The sequence below is a fragment of the Homo sapiens genome, chromosome 12 (genome assembly GCF_000001405.40).
Source record: "Homo sapiens chromosome 12, GRCh38.p14 Primary Assembly".
Taxonomy (NCBI): Eukaryota; Metazoa; Chordata; class Mammalia; order Primates; family Hominidae; genus Homo; species Homo sapiens.
The window spans coordinates 90,650,920-90,677,373 of NC_000012.12; the positions used below are offsets into that span (position 1 = coordinate 90,650,920).

Sequence of the window (26,454 nt, forward strand, 5' to 3'; positions counted from 1 at the left end):
TTCACACTCTGATTTACTGTGTATAAGAATTCCATCTGTTCTACATTCATGACCTCTACTTGATATGGTAAGTATTTTAATTTTAGCTATTCTAGGTTTATAAAACACTAGGTTTATAGTGTTGGATTGTTGTGGCTTTAATTTAAATTTATTCAGTGATTATATTGAGAATCATTTCATGTCTTTGTCATCTTTAAATTCTTTGGTGAGTGTTTGTTCAAATTTTTACCCATTCCTTAATTGATTGTTTTCTTATTATTGAGTTTTAAGGGGTCTTTGTAAATTCTGAATTTAAGACCTTTATCACATATGTGGTTTTCAAACATTTTTCTTTCAGTCAATGGCTTGTCTTTTAATCTTCTTAACAGCATCTTTTAAAGAGTAGATTCTTCTAATATTAACTCAGTGAGACTGGTAATATTTCAATACTAAAACAAATACATTACAAAAATAATTATAGACAAATATCACTCATGATCATAGATGCAAAAGTCTCTAACAAAAGTATTAGCAATAAAATTCACATATATAAAAAAGAAAATATACCATTACCAAGTGGAGTTTACATTAGAAATGAAAGGAGTCCTTGGTTGAATGGTATTCCCCGCAAATTCCTATATACATAAAATTTTAGAATGTGACCTTGTTTGGAAAGAGGGTCTTTGCAGATGTAACTAGTTAAATTAGGATGAGGTCATACTGCTTTTGGGTGGGTGCGGAATTCCGTGACTGGTGTCCTTAAAAGAAGGATATGCAGAGACGCAGACACAAGTCAATGAAATGTGGCCATTTCCACAGAGGGAGGAATTGGAGTGATACCACTTGCTGTAGAAGAAGGAACACTAATTATTGCCAAGAAGCTACCACAAGCTAGAAAAAAGGAGGCAAACACTCTTCCTGAGAATCTTTAAAGAGAATGATCTTGTTGATAATTTAATATTGAACTTGTAGCCCCAGAATTGTGCTAGAATTTCTGTTGTTTTAAGCAACCCAGTTTGTAGTAGTTTGTTATAGTAGCCCAAGGAAACTAATATATAAAGATAATTCAACATTTGAAAATCAATGTGATTTATCATATTCACAAGTGAATAATTAAAGCTATATAATCATCTCAATCTGTGCAGAAAAGGCATTTGACAAATTTGTGATTAAAAATTCTCAGGAAACTAGAAAAAGAGGGGTACTTTATTTTCCTGTAGTGGGATCTTTAAAAACTTACAGATAACATCATAATTAATTGTTCAAGACAGAAGGCTTTCAGCACCATCCCCACCTCCAAAGACTACTGACCAAGAAAGGATGACCTTTCTTACCACTTGCTGTAATTTGAATGTTTGTCCTCTCCAAATCTCATGTTGAAATTTGATCTCAATTGCTGGATGTGCAGTCTACTGGGAGGTTTTGGATTATGGGGGTGGATCCTTCATGAATAGCTTTATTTCCTTCCTGGGGAAAGCAGATGAGTGAGTTCTTGCTCTATTAGTTCTTGCTTGAGCTGGTTGTGAATAAGAGCCTATCACCTCCCCTCTCTCTCTCTTACTTCCTCTTTCATGATGTGATCTCTGCAAATACCAGCTCCTTTTGTCTCCTTCCATGAGTGAAAGCCTAAGGCGTTTGCCAGAAGCTGAGCTAACACCACTGCCATGCCTCTTGTGTCCTGCAGAACTATGAGCCAAGTAAACCTCTTTTCTATATAAATTACCTAGCCTCAGATATTCTTTTATAGCAACACAAAATGGACTCAGGCATCGCACTTATTCAATGTCATCTGGAAATTGTAGCCAGTGCAAAAGGCAAGAAAAAATAATAAAAGGCATACATATTAGATATTATGAAATAAGAAAGAGGAGCAGGAATATGGTGGAGTAGGGCTCTCTAGCCATCATCCACTCACAGAAACATCAATTTTTAACAGCTCTACACATGATAAAATACCTTCACAAAAGCTAAGGAAACCAGATAAGATATCTCAGCACCTGGTTTTAGCACAATAATTTAAAAAGATGAATTGAGGAGGATAGCAAGGACAGTTTTATGTTACCCATGGCACCCCTCCCACAACTCCAGGCAGCACAGCACATAGAGAACTACTGTCTGCTCAAGGGAAAAGAGAGAAGTGAGCACAGAACTTTGCCTTGATCCCTAACACTGGGCCCACGTCAGTAAAACTTAGTTCTGGGCAGAGGCCCATGGACTCATATTCTAGGCCAGTACACATGGATTGAACTGCTAGACCTTCTCTGGCTCCAGGCACATTCACACAGCCCCAGGCTTTAGGATTGTGCAGTAGGCTTGATGTCTACTGGGCTGATGTCAGCAGCACTGCATTCCAAGCAGCCCTCAGCATCAGACAGTACACCGTGGTTCCAGGCATCTGACTAACCTTAGCATCACATCTGCCATAAGAGGCCCAGGATTCTTGCAATGCTGTACCAGGACTTGATGGTTTTACTGCCAAATTCTATGAAACATTTAAAAGAACTCATACCAATTATTTTCAATTCTTCAAAATCAAAGAGAAGGGAATACTTTCAAACTCATTTCACAAGGCCAGCGTAACCCTGATAGCAAAGCTAGAAAAAGATGCTATAAAAGAAGAAAATAGCAGGCCAATGTCTCTGATAAAACTAGATGTGAAAATCTTTAATGAAATATTAGCAAACTGAATTTAATAAAACATTAAAAAGATAATTCACCATGATCAAATGGGATTCATCTCAGGAATGTAAGGATAGATAATTCAACATAGGCTAATCAGATGTCATATATCACATTAATAGAATGAAGGACATAAACTATATAATCATTTCCATAGATGCAGAAAAAAAGTTTGACAAAATTCAACATTCTTTTATGATAAAAGCTCTCAATGACTTAATTATATAAGGAATGCAATTAAGGCCGTATATGGCAAACCCACAACTCAGCGAAAATTAAACAATTTCACTCTAATATCTGAAAAAAGACAGGGATGCCTATCATCTCTTCTATTTAGTAAAATACTGGAGGTCCTAGCCAGAGCTATAAAGCAAGGGAAAGAAATGAAAGGCAAGGGAAATAAAAGAAATCTAAACAGGAAAGGAAGAAATTAAATTACCCGTATTTTCAGACAACATGATTATATATGTAAAAAATCTCTTAAGACTCTACTAAGAAGCTCTTAGAACTAATAAGCGAATTCAAAGTTGCAGGATACAAAATCAACATACAAAAGCTAGTAGTATTTTTATACACAAACAACAAACTATCCAAATAAGAAATAAAAAAAAATCCATTTACCACAGCTACAAAAATAATAAAATACTTAAGAATAAATTTAACCAAGGAGGTAAAAGATTACTACAATGAAATCTATAAAACATTGATGAAAAAATTGAGAAAGACATAAGTAAATAAACAGATACCTTTATCTATTAAATAAATTAATAGATAACTTGTGTTCATGGAATGGAATAATAAATATTGTTAAACTACCCATATTACTCAAGCTATCTACAGATTCAATACAACCCCTATTAAAAAGCCAATGACATTTTTCACAGAAATAGAGTATATAAGCCTAAAATTCATATGGAACCACAAAAGACCTCAAATAGCCAAAGCAATTATGATCAGAAAGAACACAGTTGGAGGCATCACACTACCTGACTTCAAAATACACTACAAAAACAAAACAGCATGGTATTGGCATAAAATCAGACACATAGGCCAATAAAACAGAAAAGACAGCCAGAAATAATCCAAGCATTTACATTCAACTGATTTTCAACCAAAAATCAAGAACACACAACAGAGAAAGAACAGTCTTTTAAATAAATGATGCTCAGAAAGCAATATCCAAATGCAGAAGAATGAAATTAGACATTTGTCTCATCCCATAAACAAAAATTTACTCAAAATGTAGCAAAGGTTTAAATGCAAGACCCAAAACTATGAAAGCACTAGAAGAAAACAGAGGAGAAATGCTCTATGACATTGATCTGGGCAATAACTTTTTGGAAATAACCCAAAAGCTCGGGGAATAAAAGCAAAAATAGACAAATAGGATCAAACTAAAAAGTTTCTGCACAGAGAAGAAAAAAAATTATCAGAATGAAGAGACAATCTATAGAATTGGAAATATGTTTGCAAACTATATGTCTAATAAGGGGTTAATACTCAGAATATGTAAGAAACTCAAGCAACTCAATGGTAAGAATACAGATAGCCTAATTACAAAATGAGCAAAGGACTTCAATATACATTTTTCAAAAGAATATGTACAAATGGCCAATAGGTATATGAAAAAAAATCTTTAACATCACTAATGATCAGGGAAATTTAAACTAAAACAACAGTGAGATATTACCTCACATCTTTTAAAATGACTATTGTAAAAAATAGATAACAAGTGTTGGCATGGAAGTAGAAAAAAGGTAACCTCTCCACATTAACCATTGGAAAATGAATTAATACAGCCATTATGATAAACAGTATGAATGTCCCTCAAAAATTAAAACTAGAACTACCATGTGAGCCATCAATGCCAATACTAGGTGTATATTCAAAGGATATGAGATCAGTATATTGAAGACTTATCTGCACTTTCATCTTCATTGCAGCACTCTTCACAATAGCCAAGATATGGAATCAACCTAAATCTCCATCAATGTATGAATGGATATAGAAAATGTGGTATATAAATATATATATATAAACACAATAAAATATTATTCAATCATAAAAAGGAGGAAATCCTGCTATTTCCACCAATACAAATGAACGTGGAAAACATTGTGTTAAGTGAAATAAGCCAGACAGAAAAAGACCAAAGGATCTCACTCATATGTGTTATCTAAAAAGTTGATATCATAGAAGTACAGAATCGAATTGTAGTTACCAGGGGTTGTGGTGACTGGTGAGGAGAAGGGAAGGGGTCAGGAAGACATTGGTCAAAGGATAAAAACTTTCCATTGGAATAAACCCAAGAGGTCTATTATACAACATGGTGACTATATTTAATGATATATTGTATTCCTGAAAGATGCTAGGAGAATAGATGTAAAGTGTTCTCACCACAAAAATGATAAATATGTGAGATAAGCCATAGTCATTCCCATATATATACATATAGGAATGACTATATACATATATACATGGAGAGAGAGAGAGAGAGAGAGGAATGACTATATATATATATGAATGACTATATATATATATGAATGACTATATATGTATATATATATATATATAGGAATGGCTATTTTGAACATATATATGCTTCAAAAAACCATGTTGTATATAGTAAATATGTATAGTTTTTTCATTGTAAAAAATAAAAATAAAAAAATGTAGAAATAAAACTCTCTTTTCACAGCAGATTTGCACATCTCTATAGAAAATTTCAAAAAATTTACAAAAAAATCCCAAAACTAGTAAGTAAATGTAGTAAGTTTGCAGGATCCAAACTCAATACATGAAAGTCCAATATATTCCCACATAGTGTACAGTGGTATCCCTATATGCCAGCTGAGTTCAATGGTATAGGGTGGTACAACTATGAAAAAATGTTATTATTTCCTAACTTATTTTTACTTAATAAAATATCTCATGCATAAAATGTTATAGAGACTAATATAGTGAATGCCCATGTGACTCAGCCATGCACCTTAAGATACAATATATTACAGATTCAGTTAAATGCCATGGTAAATTCCTCCCCATTCCTATTTTATCCTTTCTCAGAGTTTACTACTATTTCAAAGTTAGAGTCTACCATTTCCACATTTTAAAAATAATTTTGCTACATAAATGCTTATAGACCAACAGCAAATAAAATTGTTTAACTTGTAATAACAATTTATATAAATGTTTATATATATATAACAATTTATACTGAATTTTTCCTTTTTCAACTAGATTATTTTACTCACTATTATATTGGAGAGTTTTAATAATATGGATGCAGATAGCTTTGTTCATTTATTTTAATCAGGTTATAGTATTTAATTGCATGAATATATATATACAAGTTATATATCTGTTCTGTAGATAAGCTTTAAGGATTTTTTTTCCAATTGTTCACTATTGCAAAAAGCGCTACAGTGAACAGTCTTTGACTTATTTTGTTCTGCACATGGGTAAGAATTTCTCTAGAGCAATTATTCTCAGAATGTGAGCACTGACCACTAGCTTGCATATCACCTGGAAGCTTTATGGAAATGCAAATTATTGGGCCTGACCTCAGCCCTACTGAATTAAAATCTTTGGTGATAAGAACAGCATTTTGTGTTTTAGCAAGCCCTCTGGTTTGTTCTAATGCAGACTAAAGTTTGCTGACCCTTGCTTGGAATTACTGCATTGAAACACACACATACTCATTTTATCATATATATATATATATATATATATATATATATATAATTCTTTATTTATTGGTACTATCTGTTTATATTCTAGCTATTTATATATGAGAGCCCTGTTTGATTCATATTATCTCCAAGACCTAATTGTCAATTTGGTGTGTGTGAAATGACATTTTCTTTTAACTTACATCTACCTGATTCTAAGTAAAATGGAACTTTTTTAATACATGTGTTAGCCATTCAACTTTTTTCTTGTGTGAATTATTCATATTATTTGCACATATTTTAAAAATTGAGGCTTTTGGCTTTTTCTTATTGATTTTTGAGATTCCCTGTTTAATTTGGAGAATGATTTGTATTCACTTATTTTTGTTACTTATATTTGTTCTTAGTGCTTCCTAACTTTTCACTTTGTTAATGGCATATTTTGATGTTACATTGAGTTTCTTACCATTAGATTACAAACATTTTTCTAAGTTAACACATACATCTAATACACTTTATGGATATAACTATGTTAAAATTTATTAAAGCATTCTTTTACTGACAGATGCATAAGATCCCAGTTGCAACAGATGACGCACTCAAGCTGAAGATAATTTAATAAAAGGATTACTTACAAAGCAGTTTGAAACAACAACAAAAAAGGGATAGTAACTCTAGGAAGCTGGTATCACCAGGAAACCTGAATGGGCGAGAGAAGGGAGCAAATCAGAAACCAAAGACAACAGCACGAAGAGTGATTTTTGATAACAGCTGAGGCCTTTGGTAGAGGGACAAAACCAACCCCTGGAAATGTAGGAAGTCTGGGAAATAAATGTCATGGGCCTGTGCTTCTCTTTTGATTTTCTTCACTGTCTAAAGGTCTCCAAGAAATTACCTAATGTAATTCCCGTAGGTCAGTCTTTTACAGCACAGAACAAGGGAGAAGAATAGAGAAAGGAATTGGCGTGTAAATGGCAGATGACTATCCCATTTTTAATTTTTTTCTTCATTATACAAACAGTGTTGCAATAGCACTCTTGTTTATTTCCATATAATATATTGGTACTTTTATATTGCATGATTTACCATCAAAATTGGGATTGTGGAGTCAAATGTATTCTGTCTCTCTTTCCTTCAGTTTAAAGAGATGATTGTGCCACTGTGCTTCGGCATGGACAACAGAGGGAGACCCTGTCTCTGAAACAAACAAACAGTAATGTCAGATTTCTTACCCTAAAAAGTCGCAGTTAACACTCTGATACGCAATTTATGAGAATATTTGTGATATTTTAAATTATTCCAATAACTTTTTTAAAATTTGTGGGTGATGTTGGCCATAGTTCATTGACAATTCACATTTCTTCTTATGTAAATGACCTGCGCAGATACTGTTTGCATTTTTAAATTAATTTTTTCTTATCATTTGCTAAGTGTGTAGGCATGTTACTGATATTAACACTGTTGATTACCATAAAAGTTGCACATATTGTCTTCTGGTTTGTGGTTTTGCTTTATTTAAAGTGATGAATGTATAGAAGAGAAATGCTGAGGAAAGATATCTAATATTAATGTTTCAGGTGATTTTGTTATCTATTGGATTCTAGCTATAGATATTTCTAATTGGCGTAACATGACTCTAGCCTACACTATTTAGTAGAATAAAACTTTGTGATGTCAGTGAAAGAGAGCAATTCAACTTTATTAGTACTATGGTCTGATGCCTAGAAAAATAATATTGGACTTTTGTAGAACCGACTAATGGAAGTGAAAAAGAAGCAATGAAGTTTTCATAAATGTCAAGAGGAAAGTATTCTCAGTATACCATTTCTCATTCTGAGGGCATTAATGCCAGAGCGATTTGTTCTATAAATCAGACCCCAGTCTAACTCTCATTTCAAAATGCAATTAATAATTGACAGCTAAATAGGGGCGGAAATTTTTGGATTATTTGTAGGACATCTCTTGTTGCATTGTCTTACCTATAATTTTCACTGAGGTCAACAGGAGTTTTTTGCTGATGTGAGGAAAAGAGGCTGAAACATCTTCAGTCACTAAAATTTTCATGTTTACTAAATGAATTATTTTTTCTCTCTCTCCAGAGAGTTCAGTCAGTTCATAAAAAAGTGAAATAAGGTTAAATTAAAAATAAATCCTGCTGAAAAAGTCAAAAGTAATGAAAAGATGTACATACAATTTTGCTATATTTAATATACTTCTTGGGACTAAACAATATATTTGCTTTTAAGATTCGTGATAACCAGAGAAAATCAGAAAATACAATGACATTAATAGCTCTTTATTTTGAAAAGAAAGGAACTTAGCATGTTCTCTGGAAAGATAAGAATTTTCCTGTAAATGAATTCTAAATAAGTTTGAGATGGATTTTTTTTTTTCTAGTGAGATTGTACCTTTAGCATTAGTCCTTAAAAATCACTCCCATTTTTATTCTTTGGCTCAGTAAAATTATGGAATTATTTAAACATTTCAAAAGGCCATCTTCTGTTTATCTGAGGAGTGTTTATTAAGATGCCTTTGTTTTTTGTGGGTTCCTTTTAAGCTATTTCAGTAATATTGGGAAGAAGACAAGGTTAAGGAATTTCAGAAATGCATCATTTCTATGTTCATCCAGTTGTTAAGAGAAGAGCAGAAGCAAAACAAGTACATACAATAATTATGTAATGCTCCAAATAAAATCTCAAATAGGATGCATTTTTCTTACTGAAAATATGAATGATGCTCCTTATTTTGGACATTTTTCAGCTTTTCCTATTACTTCAATGTTTGCATTTATAGAGATGTATTTGGAAAAGCTAATTGATACTTATTATTAGACAACACAATTAGCAGACAGGAAAGCATAAAAAAGATTACAAAAGAATGAATTTTATGCTGAGTTAAATTACATGGCAGGAGGTGAAATAAAAATAAAAAGGCAAACACATACAGATGAGGTGTAAAGATTAAGCATTAGCCAGAGTAAAGGTGTTCATAAGCCAGAAGAAGAACACAGAGTATTTGTACATAGTAACAGCCTATTCACACTGTATTTGTTATGCAGCATTTTCTTTGATCATTATTTTCATAATACTCTTTAAAATAAGTGTAGAATAAAAAGAGAAGAAGAATAAGAATAATCTTATTCTTACTTATTAGGTATCAAACAATTTTCTTGGTGATTTACCTGCAATTATCATATCTAATCTTTAATAGTCTCTATGAACTGAGTGTTGCCATTATTCTTATTTTATACATAAATACACTTAGAGAGGTTAAACCACATACTTGAGATCACACAGATAGTAAAAGGCAAAGCCTGGATTTACTAACTCCAGAACGTGGATGCTTATTCACAATACTGTACAGTTTTCTCAAAAATTCTTCCTGGCTGGAGATTGTATTCCATTTCAATCATGTTTTCTTATTCAGTACTCATCAGTCTGCCGATTGCGCGTTGTTATCACTATATTATAGAAGAGGAACTTAATAGGGGTCCTTTCTTTCTTGCCATAAAGCAAGTTAGATAAGCCATAGATCCTACTGAATCATAGAATAACCATAAAAAGATATATCTACTATTCTAGTATTATGTATAGAATATGAAGAGAAGAAAATTTAAAAAGAAAAAAGGAGAAGCTTGTAAGAGGAACTACACCTGCTATTACTGATTTGGATTAAACAACTAAATAGAGAAATTACTGGGCCAAGGCAAATAGGTTCTTCTTTTGAGTTTCTATAGCGATTCTGTATGTATTACAAATATAGCACTTAAATTGAATTGCAGTAATTTATTTATGAGTCTAGAATCTGTTAAAACAGTGGAAAGGACCATACTTTTTTAAAATTGTAAATTCCAGAATATGTTAAAATGTCAAATATATATAAAGTACTTTATAATACTGTCAATTATATAATTGACTGAATAAATTAATGAATGACAACGTCTAGAATCAGTAGATCTTTGATGTCTGTGTTGATACATTAGATATTTATGTCATATTATCAAAGACTGAGAATGGATAAGCTAGATGGGAGTCTTAATGGGTACACCTAGACCAAGACCAAGCCACAGAATTTACAAAAGTATCCCAGTAAGGACAGGTAACAATATGGGTGTATCTTGGGCAATAGAAATTAAAGCATGGGTTATCTTGACTCAATCTGAAGGAATTACATATGGAAAGGCATGGGTAGAAAAAAAGAAACTGTGTCATTCTCATGATTAAAACTAGGATATAAGTTGCTAGCCAGATGAAAGAGGTATTTGGGGAAATTTTTCCCAAATGAATACATACAAAATTAGATAACACAATATAATATGATTACTCTCTGGAAACCGACTTGGAAACAGCGTCTTATACAGGATATGAGAGGAGAGTTAAATAGCCAATTGTGGCTAATATGGATTCCAATATCATCTTTGAGTAATGTTTATTTATATACCCTGTTATTCATTCATCCAAAAAAAAATTTAATTGACATATCGCTTAGTCTTACACACCATCCAAACTGCTGGAAATACAACAATGAACAAAATAGAAAAAGAATGCCTCATGGTCTTAACTCTAGTGGTGAGAGATACACGGTAAGGATAAGTATAAAGAAAACATCGATATGTCAGATCATGATAGATGATATAGAGAGAAATAAAGTAGATGAAGGGGATAGGGAGTATTGGAGAGAAAAAAAGATAATTCTAATATAATTAAGATGTTTAGGGAAGGCTTCAGTGAGGAGACTTGTATGCAAACCTCAATAAAAAGAGAAAACTAGCAGCACAGCCCTCTGGGTTAGCAAATGCAAAAGTCCTGAGGCAGAAACATGGTATCTCTGAGGACAAGAACATACTAGAAATGCTGATGTGGAAAGATCTAGGGAAAAGAAGGCAGATATAAAATTATCAAGAAACTAAAAGCCAAATCTAGTTGAGACCTGGGGAAGAATGGGTTGTGCAGAGGCCTGCAACCCATTGTCTCCTTTTACTGAGAAACATCTGTGGAAAATAAGATTAACCAGTCAAATCTGCTTGCAAAGATGCCAGTAACAAAACTTTCTGGCAAACAAACTATCTGTATTTGCTAGTGAGAGAATCCTTGTCTATGGAATGCTTTCAGCAGAATGTACCTACTATATAAAGAATTGCAGAGAATAAACAAACTTGGAATTGATTTATAGGGCATAGTTCTAGGAAAAAATGTCATGAACTTGAGAAGAATGTAGAGATATTTCATTAACCAAATGAAAGACTGAGCAAAGCTGCATATTTTACTTGGGGATTTCATATATTTATCTGCACCAGAGAAAATCCTGTTGTAGTGAGAAAGGACATGGGGAGCTGTGCCCTAGACCTTTCCTTGCTTTACCTGTGCCTCACAATTCCTTTTGTCCTTGAAAGCATTAGTAAAGCTTGACGCTAAGACCCCTGATTCACATGAGTCTGATTTTTCCAGTCTGACCTGTTGTGTTATCTAAGGACTTTAGAGCAGCTACTGTGAGGATTTTGACTCTTTCTCTGAATGAGATGTGAAGTTACTGGAGAGTTTTCAACAGAGAAGTAAAATCATATGATTTAAAATTTAAATTGGAGAACAGACTGTAGAGAAGCAAATAAACAGGGAAACAGTATTGCAACAATGTAAATGGAAACTTGTGGTGGTTTGGATCAAAACTGTAGCAGTAAATGTGGTAATAAGTGATTGATTTGGGGGTACTATGGCATAGTGGCTATCCCGGATGACGAGATTCAAATTATAGCTCAATAGAAGAAATCTATAAGTACCATTGTTAAATAAACAATACAGTCATTCTAGAGAAGGACACAGAGCTATAACAGCCAGGAAGTTAATTCATTAAGATTAAAGTGACAAGAGATGATATCCTAAAAGACATATTTGAGAAAATGTGGACAAATATTAAATACTAATATTAGTACTCAGACAGTAGTAATAATGAGCAGCAGACCTGAAGGAGAATTCTGATGCTAGCGTAGGTTCAGTTTCTCTTTGCTCACTTTCTAATTTTGTGTGTGTGTAGGAATGGCACAGAGTGAGTTTACACTTGGAAAAATAATTCACATTTAAGTTTAAGGTCATTTATTTTTATTTCTGAATATTCCATTGGATGAACACACCATCATTTGATCATCCTTTCATCTATTGATAGACATTTGCAATATTTTCAATGTTTAGTATTACAAATAAAGGTGCTATTAACATTTATGTACAAGTTTTTGTGTAGACATATAGGATTTATATTCCTTTTCAAAATGTGCTCTTATCTCCCATGACCACCTTTTCATATTTTGTTTGTTGATTTAAGAATGACTTTCATTTTAGGTGTCTATTTTAGATTGATCTTAGGGCTGCTTCTAACTCCCCTCTTTTCTGTGATGTTTTTATATGGGCTGCACTGACTCTCCATGCATTGAGAGAGTGCTTTCCATGATTACAGGTAATTTAAAGATTGGGCATTTTCTACCTTTTAGTTATCCTGTGTGTTTTGCCTCATTTGTTCTCTTTATCATTTTTTGAAGGGTGTGTTGGAAGATTTCAATTAAATGTTCAGCATTACTTTGGATACCAACTCTAAAGGTGTAAAGAGGCCAGTCACGGTGGCTCACACCTGTAATCCCAGCACTTTGGAAGGTTGAGGTGGGCAGATCATCCGAGGCTGGGAGTTCGAGACCAGCCTGGCCAAAATGGTGAAACCCCCTCTCTACTAAAAATACAAAAATGTTAGCCAGTGTGGTGGCGCACGAATGTAATCCCAGCCACTCTGGAGGTTGAGGCACGAGAATCGCTTGAACCTGGGAGGTGGAGGTTGCAGTGAGCTGAGATCGTGCCATTGCACTCCAGCCTGGGCAACAGAGTGAGACTCTGCCTTAAATAAATAAATAAATAAATAAATAAATAAATAAATAAATAAATAAAGTACAGAGAGGGAGAGTGTGATAGGTGCTATTATTCCCCCCCACACACCGGCCCCCCCGCAAAGATATTAGGTCCTAATTTCTGGGAACTGTAAATGTCACCTTATAAGCAAAAAAGGACTTTTAAAGATGTGATTAAGTTAAGAATTTTGTGATGAAGAGATTATCCACTTGGGTCCTAAATGTAATCATAAGAGAGAGGCAGAGCAGTATTTGACAAACACACAGAGGAAAAAGGTGTTGTGAAGACAAAGCAGGGGGAGATTTGAAGATGCTGACCTTGAAGATTAGAGCAATGGTCCACCATAAAAGGAATGCCGCCAGCCACCGGAAACTGGAAGAGGCAATAAACAGATTTTCCCCTAAAGCCTTAAGAGGGAGCACTTTGATTTTGGCCCAGTTATACTTATTTGGAATGTCTGGCCTCCAGAACTGTGAGAAAATAAATTTCTGTTGTTTACCACCCACTCGAGGTAATTTGGTACAGCATCCACGGGAAGCTAATGCAAACACTTTTTTTAAAAATGTAATTACCTTTCCTAAGGCTTGAAGATAGTAAAGAAAATGCAAAAAAAAAAAAAATGTAAACCTCAGATATTAGTATCTATCCCCTTAATGGCCACTCAACTTGATCATTTATAGACAGTTATTACAGTTTTCCTCCATCTACATGCTGGTATTCCGTTACAGAGAACCTGTCCTATCAGACAATAGGGGATCAATATATATGATACGGTTTTGCACTGTGTCCCAATCCAAATTTCATCTTGTAGCTTCCATAATTTCCATGTATTGTGGAAGGGACCCGGTGGGAAATGATTGAATTATGAGGGTGAGTCTTTCCCGTGCTGTTCTCGTGACAGCAAGTAAGTCTCTCGAGATCTGACAGTATCATAAGGGGGAGTTTCCCTGTCCAATCTCTCTCTTTGCCTGCTGCCACCCACATAAGATGTGACGTGCTCCTCCTTGCCTTCTGCCATGATTCTGAGGCCTCCCCAGCCACGTGGAACTGTAAGTCCAATTAAACCTCTTTCTTTTGTAAATTGTCCAGTCTCAGGAATGTCTTTATCTGCACCGTGAAAACAGACTAATACAATATATTTGAGAGATGTTGCATGATTGTGTTCTCTTCTGGTATATTCTCTAGCTCCTATTCCAGTACCCCAACATTATCTCATGGATTATATAAGAGTCACCCAAAACAAACCAGCACAAGAAGGTTGCATCATAATCATCTCTTCAGAGAGGCACCCTCTACTAGTGAAGTGACCTATCAACATCATTGTGTAGAAGGATGAATTTAATAATCTGAAACACCTGTACTTGGGTTGTTTTACTGACTCGGGTCTTCATTAAGTAAATAATTAGGTGACACAATTTTATGTTTAACAAATCATCCTCCACTAGGATCAATTAAGAAGTGTATATCAAAGACAATTTCCAGTTTCCACACTTATTACCAATAAGAAATCAATGATATTCTAATCTAGCTGAAGACCAGCATGGTTCCACTATAAGAAGTATCCTACTGCTTCTTCTTTCTCCCTTAATTCACTCATAATACAACTAGTATTTAAGAAAAAAATAAGATTAAGCAGATATGACTAAAACAAATGAAGAGAGACTTATGTGTGTGCATATGTGCGGAATTCCCATTTATTCATGTTTGTATTTGTAAAGAAAATCCCAAAAATATAACAGAAGAAAATAAGATGTGGCTAGCATGCATGCAATCAAGAAATAGTTCCAAAATACTGTAAGTATGTGGGAAAATATAGTCACCTTAGTGTTTAATAATAATTTTCATTTAGCTAATGTTTTTAGTCTATTCTCTAAAGAGAATATCCTATCTCTAAAGAGATAGGATAGGCAATACCATTCAAGACAGAGGCATGGGCAAAGACTTCATGACTAAAACACCAAAAGCAATGGCAACAAAAGCCAGAATTGACAAATGGGATCTAATTAAACTAAACAGCTTCTGCACAGCAAAAGAAACTATCATCAGAATGAACAGGCAACCTACAGAATGGCAGAAAATTTTTGCAATCTATCCTTCTGACAAAGGGCTAATATCCAGAATCTACAAAGAACTTAAACAAATTTACAAGGGAAAAACAAACAACCCCATCAAAAAGTGGGCGAAGGATATGAACAGATACTTCTGAAAAGAAGACATTTATGCAGCCAACAAGAATATGAAAAAAAGCTCATCATCACTGGTCATTAGAGGAATCGAAATCAAAACCACAATGAGACAACATCTCACGCCAGTTAGAATGGTGATCATTAAAAAGTCAGGAAACAACAGATGCTGGTGAGGATGTGGAGAAATAGGAACACTTTTACACTGTTGGTGGGAATGTAAATTAGTTCAACCATTGTGGAAAACTGTGGCGATTCCTCAAGGATCTAGATCCAGAAATACCATTTGACCCAGCAATCCTATTACTGGGTATGTACCCAAAGGATTATAAATCATTCTACTATAAAGACACATGCAGATGTATGTTTGTTGAAGCACTGTTCACAATAGCAAAGACTTGGAATCAACCCAAATGCTCATCAATGATAGACTGGATAAAGAAAATGTGGCATATATACACCGTGGAATACTATGCAGCCTTAAAAAATGATGAGTTCATGTGTTTGGCAGGGACATGGATGAAGCTGGAAACCATAATTCTCAGCAATCTAACACAGGAACAGAAAACCAAACACTACATGTTCTCACTCATAAGAGAGAGTTGAACAATGAGAGCACATGGACACAGGGAGGGGAACTTCAGACATCAGGACCTATCAGGGGTTGGGGGGCTAGGGGAGGGATAGCATTAGGAGAAATACCTAATGTATATGACTGGTTGATGGGTGCAGCAAATCACCATAGCAAATCACCTATGTAACAAACCTGCATGTTCTGCACTTGTATCCCAGAACTTAAAGTATATATATATATAAAAAGAGAGAGATAGGATGATAATTCATAATACATGGTTAAATAATACATAATACATTTTTGTTCCGTGTATAAAATATGATTATTTTATAATAAGGCTCAGAGTTTTATTTGGTTTGATAAGAAAACACCAGAGATTGCAGAATGTTGTGCTTTCCTTAATATTTGTGTTTCTAATATTCTTTGAACTTTATAATATAAAGTCTTTTTGTGACAGGTTAAATTTAATGGTAGTAATAATATGAATTAACTTGAGGACAGGAAATCACTGGAAAACAATTTAAAATTATTACTAATGCATTAAGTAATGTGGTAAAATTATCAATCATTTGGAAATTAGTCTAAAAAATCATTTTAGAAAAATTTGCAAATTTTGAGTTCAAACGTAGCCTCTAAATATTTGATCCCATAAGAAATTATTTGGTGTGAACTGATTTTACTAAGAGTTCAACCATGTATAATAATAATTATTGGAGGTAGTATTTCCTTATTAATATGAGAAAGCAATACATTTTAAGAAGTGAATAATTTTATTTCTAAGCCTAATAGATTTGCCATAAAATGAGTATTCAGTTACCTTTTCCATCTTTTCTCACAAAGCTAAATTGAATTTAAAATGAAAACTGAAAAAAAGGGGCTCAGAAATATTTGGTAACCATTAGGAACCTGCAGAAAGATTTTTCAGGTTTTTTTCTTTCCCTTGAAAGCCCAGGAAAACTAAGTTAAAAGCTCTGTATACTGAATGATTTACATCCTGTTGTGATTCAGTGACTTTAAGTGTTAACTGAAGTTTTTCTTTGTGAGACATAGAATAGACCACGAAGAACTTTTTGCCAGTTGTATTATGTAGTGCACCATTACTCCTAAATGCAGTAGCATATTTTACTTCTTGGCATTTATCCTATTTTCTTTTTATTTTTTCTAAAAAATAAAAAAGGATATCATAGCAGCTATTATTAAGTATAAATTAGATATATGTTCCTAGTCATATTCTTTCAAACAACCAAGCCTTTTTTTCCTATTTTCTTTTTCTTGTTGTTTCATTTCTATTTTGAAGAAATAATTGTAGCTTTACTTGTATGGTCTGAGGCCAGACTAAAGAGTGTGTATTTCTCTGAATATAACAACAATCATCTATTTATTTATGTAGTAATTCACTTAGTTTTGATATTTTATTCAATTACCAGTTACTGACTGCATACAATGTACCAAAAGGTCTTCGAAGTTCTAGAAATATGGATGGACAAGCTATAGTCTCTATTTCCAAGAAACTGAGTTTATTATGGTAGGCAGATAAGGGAGCCCAATTCTATTGCCCAGAGTACTGTGTCAGAGGCATATTTGGTTTGATAGGGGAGCACTGAAAAGCTTCCAACTTAACTTGGATATTTCAGAAAAAGTCTTTTAGAAAAACTAACATTTTATATTTCCATAAGGGTCTTGATTTTTGTCATCAGCACGACCTGCAACTTATTTTGTAGGTAATCATTTTATAAAATTATTTCACGAAGAACGAGCTGATATCCTCTGTTTTTCTATTTCAGGAAGAATTGTTTCTTGTCCAATGTTCATGCTTTAGGATGATATGTGGGAAGTGAGAATTGAGAGGTAGAATTACTCATGGGATGAACTCCTTCCTATCTACCTGTGTTCCCACAGATGCTTAATAAATGGAGGCAGAAAAAAGCCCCTATATAAGTGATTATATATTTTGTGCTATTTTATTTTTGTTTAATTCTGTGGCAAATATTTTTATGTACATGGTCAATAGAAACAATAGCTCAGCAATAGAAGTATTCAGTACAAAATATTATTGTGTCTAAATATCAAAATTGCTGCAAAAATTGGTATTAGAAATTGAAATCAAACAAGTGAATTAATCATTAAAATGAAGATTTGGACATTTCATGCCAATCATTATTCCTGGTAGCAAAGCTTCTTCAATAAAAATTAATAGTATTCGGTAATGCAAAAAAAGCTTTTGTTTTTCCTTAATTGTAATGTTAATGGTGCCTTCAACAACTATTGTATACATGAATTTTCCAGTACCTCATTCCTTATCTTTGCTCCTCTCTTTATAGAATATAGAGCAAATCAGCTATGAGCCATTTCAATTTTCTGGCGTCCACACTTATAGACATTGATGCTATAGGTCCTCACTTCCTTTCCTCTAGTCTCTGATGATAAGATGTCCCTCATGTCTCACTCAAGTCAAACACCAATTTAGACTTTGATTCCTCTCTGTCTGTACTTCTGAGATTTTGCTATCTTAGTTATCCCTTTTTTCTGCAAAATCGTTAAGTGTTCTCTTCTTCTCTTTTGACTCTTTTTCATTTAGCATATGCTATAGTTTGAATTTTTATTCCCCCAAATCTCATATTGAAATATCACCCCCAATATTGGAGATAGGGCCAAATGGAAGGTGTTTGGGTCATGGGGGCAGATCCCTCATTAATGGCTTGTTGCTGTTTGTGGTAATGAATAAGTTCTTACTCTGTTAGTTCTTGTGAGAGCTGGTTGTTTGAAAAGTCTTCCCCCTCTTCTTCCTCTTTTCACTGTGTGATTTCTGCACATGCCAGCTCCCCTTTGCCTTCTGCCATGAGTGGAAGTTGCCTGAAGCCCTCCCTGGAAGCAGACACTGATGCCTCACTTCCTGTACAGTCTGCAGAACCATGAGCCAAATAAACCTCTTTTATTTATAAATTACACAATCTTAGATATTCATTTATAGCTGCACAAAAGGACAGAGCGAGCATATAAACATGTTTATACACTTTTCCTCCTAACAAAAATCAACAATAACAATCACTTAACACTAAATGCATGCCTCCAGCTACAGTTCAGTTTTTCAGCTTCCCTCCTTACAATCTCACAAAAGTTGTCTACTTTTGCAGTCTCCAGAACCTTACTTCTGGCTGTGCTTTATCCCATCACAATATGGCTTAAGTCTTTGTTGACTGCCATATTGCCAAACTCAACATTATAAAAATGAAACTCTCTCTTGCATTTGGAACTTTTGATCATTTTCTCCATTGTGAGCATTTTTCTCTCCCTGACATTTTTACTTACTTGGTTTCCAAGACACCTTCACATTAACCACTGTAATGGCCTCCCAACTTTTCTCCAAGCTTTTATATTTACATGTGTCATCTGTATTTTCTCCTAAGGCATGATGCAAATCTTATATCGACTCCCCAGGGTAAATCCAACAGAGGCTTCTCATTATCTGAAAAGCAAAATTCTAACACCTTAAAATAGAAATTCAAGTCCCTCTAGATTTGACCCTGCCACTCTTTCCAGCCTGAGCTCCTCATTTTTAAGAAATATTCCTGGCTCCTCACGTTTGGTGCTCTCAGAATTTCATCTTTGATCTATGATTTTCCTTAGTCAAGTACTGTCCTGAATAACCTTATCTGCTCTTAGGGTTTTACCACTTAGCTAAACACTTCATAGTCACCTCAAATTCACCATGTTAAAAAATGGAATAGTCTCCTCCCATCTAAATACGTTCCTTTTGGTTCCTTTTTTTTTCACTAGTGTATTCATCAAGATAAATTACTTTTATAACAAACAAATGTCAAATTAAATAAAATAAAGTTTAATAGATATCAATACTGAATCTGTAGCTTCTCTAGGCTTTGCTGCTTGGAGTCATTCAGGGATGCATACTTCTTGTATGCCATGCTCTGCCCTAGGATCTTGGAATACTCCTCAGAGTAATGTATCCAGATGAAGAGAATGACTGCAAGATTCCAAATGAAGGTTTTATGAGTTGGAAACAGAAGTAATAAATAACATTTCTAACTATATTCCGCTGGCCAGTACACAATCATAAAACCACCCTACCTACAATGAAGGCTGAAACCTGTAGTTTTTCCATGAGCCATGGAGTAAAAGTGAAGGGGTACACTGAACACACAGAACTTCACTAATGTAACTGCTGCATTCCAAATAGTTTTACTGTTTTTACTTCCTAAATAAGTCTCAAATATGTTGCCACCATTATCCTTATCGTAACTAAACTTATTCTCATGGATCAGGCCCCATCATTTCTCAGAAGAACTGCTGCAATAGTCTCTAAACTGCAATCTTCGTCTTCTGCTTTAACCCCTCCAGGCTACAAGAATAATCAAAAAAAGATTCAGATTTCATATACTAAACAACGCTGCTTAAATCCATTCAGTGACCTATCACATACAGGGTAGAACTGTCATAGAGTGGAAAAACAAGGTTCTCTTAAAGTGAAATTTGCCTTTTTCAGTTGCTATCACTCTGGCCACACACTGCTTTCCATTTTAAGCTCAGCCAAGAGTAAAACACTTCTGGACCCTAAACAAAGGTATTCCATTCAGTATCTTTGTTCATTATGTTTTCCCACCTTAAACATGTTTCCCTCCTTAATCCATCACTCCTAAGGATGAGTTAGGAGCATCTCATCAAATCTTGCATAATCTCTGGTATGCATTTGTCAATCAGTGATTTACTTCATTGTGTACAACAATCTGAGAAAGTGCTTAAATAATTCTTAAAACTATGAGATCCCTGATAAGTATCTTTCTCACTTTTCATTTTGAGCTCTGGCAGAATTCTTGGCATGTAGTAATCATCTATAAATATGTGCCAAATAAGTAAACTACTCTTAAGCAAAGACTTACTTTGAACTTCCATTTCTGGTTTCTGTACCTGTGTTTCTTGTTGACCCTATTAATGTATGGTCATTCACTTCCATAGGGATAGTCTGAGACTGCCTCTAATCCAGTGGCTAGAGTTTCATTTTACATGGATAGATAACAAAATAATAAATTTGGGCCTATTAAATTTTCCATTTTGTACCCTGTCCATATGATTGGACATCCTGACACTGTATGAATCTCATATGATACCTGAACACTATATTATAAGCCCATCAAAGCTTTCTTGTGTTTGACTCTTATCAAATCAGTTCCTTCTAACCCATACCTGTCTTGTAGAATAGTTTCCTGCTTGTTTCTGTTTTATTCATCCAATTCCAGATACTACTGTGTGTTCACTCAAGAAACCAGTAATTTTTTACAACAAAGGCTATTTCACATTCTAACAATAGACACTTAAGACACAGGCATTTCTGCCACACAGTGGGATCAAGAATACAGCCATGATAATAGTACAAAAAAATACAGAGAAATTCAACTGGAGTAACAGAAGAATGTGGGCAGCAATCTAAGTGGAATTTCCTGTTCTTCAGTGAATTGTAAAATTATTTGTGACCTGTGTGAACTGTGATTTACAAAGCAGCCCAAAAAGTATTGAAAGAAAAGTACTGTCGAATCAATCATTTTTCATTAAATCCTTATTTCATTTTTCAAAATGGTAGAGCCAAAGCTTCTTCCAATAAACTGATTGATAGCTTTCAATTTATGATTCAATACCAAGTACATTAGTTGTACTTGAACCTCCCAGAGTAAATCAATTTTTATATTGAGTGCCATTGACTTAAGTTAAATTATTGAAAGAAAGGATACAAGTGTATAGCTTAAAATGCCAGGATGATTAAATAAATACTGGTAAAATATTAAGAACCTAGAATTGTTTAATTTGAAGTATAACTTGATACCTTTTCTAATATGTAAAGGGAAAATGGAGAGCACTAAATTATTTAAATTTAGGAATACTGTGAAACTATTATTTACATTGTGGCTCACTTGTAAGAAATATTTATAGAGTTCATTTGAGAGTTTTATTTCTTGATGGGCAAAAAAAGGAAAAATCATATATAATATTTTATTTTTATTTTTCAAAGTATGAATTTGATAATTTGGTTTTTGGTTAGTTACAATAAATAAATCTACATTCTGAACGAGATAGAGTTTGCTTCAACTCAAAAGACAAATCCATTTCCCAAGGTAAGTATTAATGTTTGGTCAGTCCTACTACAAGCACTAATATTTGCTGTTCATCTTCTGTCAATTATCTTTACAAATATTATCTCTTCTGGGATTTATAAATAGATCCTTTGAAATCAAAATGAATCAAGATGCATTAATTTTGTTTCATACATTACAGATTTTTAAAGATACTCATTCTTGAATTAAAAAATATAAGAAAAACAATCTGATTCTACAATAAAATATCTAATTTCATTAATGATAACTCTTGGTGTTAGAAAACAATTTATCAATGTTACTTTTTTTTTTTTTGAGACAGGGTCTTGCTCTGTCACCCAGGCTGGAGTGCAGTTGTGTGATCTCAGCTCACTGCAAACTCCGCCTCCCGGGTTCAAGCGATTCTCGTGTCTCAGCCTCCCAAGTAGCTGGGATTACAAGTGCAAGCCACCATGCCCCGCTAACTTTTGTATTTTTAGTAGAGACGGGGTTTCACCATGTAGCCTAGGCTGGTCTTGAACTCCTGATCTCAGGAGATCTGCCCCCCTCAGCCTCCCAAACTGCTGGGATTACAGGCATGAGCCATCACGCCCAGCCAACGTCACTATTTTTGAATCCCTAATGATGTAAAGAGTTCAGAAAATGTTTCATTATTGTCAATTTCTGTACCCTCTAAACATACACACACAGACACATACACACATATACACATCCTGAAATATAGGTTATTCAAAGAAGTTGCTCAAAACTTAGAAAATACATACTTATTAATATATAAATTGCTCCAGACTGGCCAACACAAGAGCATTTTATTCACACAACAGCTAAGCTAGAATTGGGTGAAGTCCTTAAAGTGTCTTTGAGCTCTGAGGTTTCAACGGCAAGAGAAGGAGGTGGAAACAGTGCTGAACCTCCAGAGGTTTTATTCTAAGGAAGATAAAGTTATAGGGGGGAAAGGGAGACCCAAGGATTTCTGGTGGCTTTTATTAAAAAAAGCAAGGAGTATCTTCAAATAAACGGGGTGTGAAATAATTATGGATATTATTATTATTATTATTATTTTCACAAACATTAAATGTTTATCTAAAAAGCTTCATGAAGTTCTTTAGAACATAGTCTAGGTGTCTTTCACCTCCTCTGTTCAAGTTTCCTAGATCTTCCAGCCTGAGTTTCAACTGATATTCATCTCCTGTGTACTTCTATAAAAATAATGTTTTATGAACGCTCTCCTTACTTCTCACAGGATGGAATTAAAATGCTATACAATCTCTCTTTCCTCATAGAGTCTGAGGAGAGTCTGAGACTCTCGAGAGCAGAAATTGTGCTTTTTTTCATCCTTGTATCCTTTCCAATAACACTACCACCATTGCCGAAGTATGTAGCAAATGGTAGGCACTCAATAAACACATGCTGAATGAATGACTGAGACACAATCGGAGAATATTAAATGTATGTCAGACTGACTAGTGTACTTTTAATCATGGACCATGGATAATGAAGAGTCAAAAAAGTAGGTGCCACAAATTCAGTTTACTAGTAGGTTCCCAAGATGACAAAAATGTAGCAGATTTAAAAAGGATCTTCTAGTATTAAAAAAGCTAAAAAATAGGCTATAAGATTAATGATAAATACCAATTAATATATTAGTTGGTCACAGTGTCAGGGAGACAGAAGGGAATAATGTGGACAGTAGAGAATATATTCCATGGCTCAAGGGCATGCCTTTATCAATCCATTTTATTGTGGCAATGAGGAAATTTGGGCTTGTACTGCTAGATTTAACAATTTCTACAAAGGGCTAGACGTTGAATCCATAGCAATTTTAATATGTTGGCTTTTTAAACATATAGTATAAGCCAAAAAAAAACATAGTCTGTGAATCTGTAGCAGTGGCCATCAGAATTTTAATCTGCTCTTAAGCGCTCTGAGTAGGATGGAAAGTGCTAAATGAGTACATTAGGAAGTTTACTTTCACCCCAGGTAGGAGGCTGTTTGAATATTCCAGGCTGAAGCGCAAGCACATACAAATCCATTTTCCAAAAATTCCAAGTCCAGAAGCATGACAACAATGGATTATAGCTAATCATTTTGTAGTCTTCTACTATATTTGCCTATCCCAGGGGCATCAGGAAATACGATGGCACAGACTAAATCAGTTGAAGTATTAGTATCTCTACATTTCAAATGTTATTTTTGTTCCCCCTTTACTTGCAACACTGTTACTGAGTTACCATACCTTACTACATTTCCCATACTTCTTCACTATTTTTGTTCCACCCAGCCTGTTCTTCTTTTGCAGCCTCCCTAGAATGTGACAGTCCACAGAAATATCTGATTTCAAAGAGATGCTTGCATTCTGTACTGATGCCATCTAGAATTGTAAATGACCAGTGTCACACTGCTAAGTGGAGAAAGGTAAGGAAATTTGTTACAGGTCTTTATGTTTTTTAATCTCTTACAATCTTTTGAAGAAACATAAATGTTTTATTTTCAATTAATGTTTTTGTTACTTACTTTTGGTTCCATCTGTGCAAATCAAAATGCATTAACATTCTTGAACAATAGTACTGGAATGTTTATGCAAAATTGGACACAAATAATATTGCAAGGAATAGAAAAGAAGAATGAAGGAACTCTTCCAGAACACTGCCAATGACTCTGGACTTATCTACATGGATTTGAAAAGAAATCTTGCACAAATAAATGAACTTCTAAGAAAAAAATAAGGCTAAGCTGCTCTCTGGACTGATTTATATGCCATTATAACAATACAAAGACAAATAGATGCATTTAAGTTAGCCTAGAGACTTATTCTTCACAGATATCATCAGAAAGTATGTATTAAGTCCCTATTCTCAAATTATTTCAGTATATGAAGTATTTTTCACATTTTACAAATAAAGAATTAATATTTCAGAAAATAACCAAAATTTACTAAGGATATTTGAATTAGTTAAAGCAGAGTTTATTTACTCTGGTAGTAACAGTACTTTTTTAAACTAAATGTGACTGTAATTGGATAATCCTATTTTCTAACTGGCGTAGGAAATGCTTCTGTCTTAAATATATGCATTTGGACACTATTTTTGATTATATAATATCTGATACTGATATAAAACTGGTATATTATAGTATGCCGTGTATGTGGTTAACCCAGTAACAAGTCATGAAACCATTACTTAGTAATTAGTAGTATTCCTATGAAAGAAATGAGATACAGGCATTATTTCTTTTTATTGCAGCTTTGCATAATTAAAATATGCAATTTGATCTATTAAACTAGTAATTAAACACAAAATACTTGATATATAACTGGTTAACCCAGTTACAAGTCATGAAACCATTATTTAGTAATTAGTAATGTTCGTATGAAAAAAATGAGATACAGGCATTATTTCTTTTCATTACAGCTTTGAGTAATTAAAAATATGCAATTTGATCTATTAAACTACTAATTAAACACAAAACACTTAATATGTACCAGAAAACTTGTGCTCTGAAATTGGATAACTGTTCATTGTCTGATCATTTCTCTCACTGTCTCTTCTCCCAAAGCGTGAAAGAAGAATCCCATCAGTACATTCACGATAGAGGAAATAAGAAACAATGAAAGCCACAAGTAAGTCCTGAGTTGATCAACAGTATTGCACTTCTCCAGGCAAGTAGAAAAATCTAATTTGTGTTCTACCTCCATTCCAAGCTTCTACACTCCACTTTTGAAGATATATACAATTAGTAAAATAGCCCCAAATAGTCAGAAAAAGAAAGGGGGCATTGGTTTAAATGCCTAGATTATTGAAATTATAGAAATAGGGCATTTCTAAAAAATCAAATAGTTTTCTCAACTTCTAACTAGATAATCTGTGTTTATGAAGATTCACATACCTGGGAAGAAAAAAGAAGTAATGTATTCTTATGCTTTTTGAATTTAGTTTCAACGTACTATAAAATGAAATTGCATCATTTTATTCAGTTTGTCACTCCCCCCACTCCACTCCACTCAAGACTTTAGCACTATCTACAATTTCAAATACAACCTAATACACTTATTAAGACCTTCATATACTAGCCCTTGCTTCTTCTAAAATAATACTCAAAATGGTAATACAATTAATGGCTAATACTTTTCCTAGACATTGTGCTAAATGTGTCACATGATCTCATTTACTTCAAAGAGATAAAAAGGAAACTGAGATAGAAAGAGGAGATAACCCAACTTGGCCTTATTTTCAGTTGCTGTTTCTACAAAGTTGAGCCCAATACAAGGTTATGTGTTCAGAATCTGTGTTCCTAACCCTCAACTATATATTTCAAACTTCACAGTATTACAGCACTCCACAAAACTCCCTCTCTCCTCCCTCTAAACTAAACATGCACTTA

At 33.9% G+C, this 26,454-nt stretch overlaps 1 long non-coding RNA gene across 2 annotated transcripts in view; it reads left to right on the top strand.

Annotated features, from left to right (window-relative positions):
- The window catches only part of LINC02822 (long intergenic non-protein coding RNA 2822), an 89,782-nt gene that overhangs the window by 57,353 nt on the left and 5,975 nt on the right, over nucleotides 1-26,454 (top strand). Inside the window, exons 2-3 of one of the 2 annotated variants that reach the window (XR_429171.5) lie at nucleotides 24,374-24,489; nucleotides 25,630-25,693. This is a non-coding gene — a long non-coding RNA (long intergenic non-protein coding RNA 2822). Of the gene's footprint in view, nucleotides 1-24,373; nucleotides 24,490-25,629; nucleotides 25,727-26,454 lie in introns of those variants that run through there. The other variant, XR_007063577.1, reaches the window with a different exon arrangement.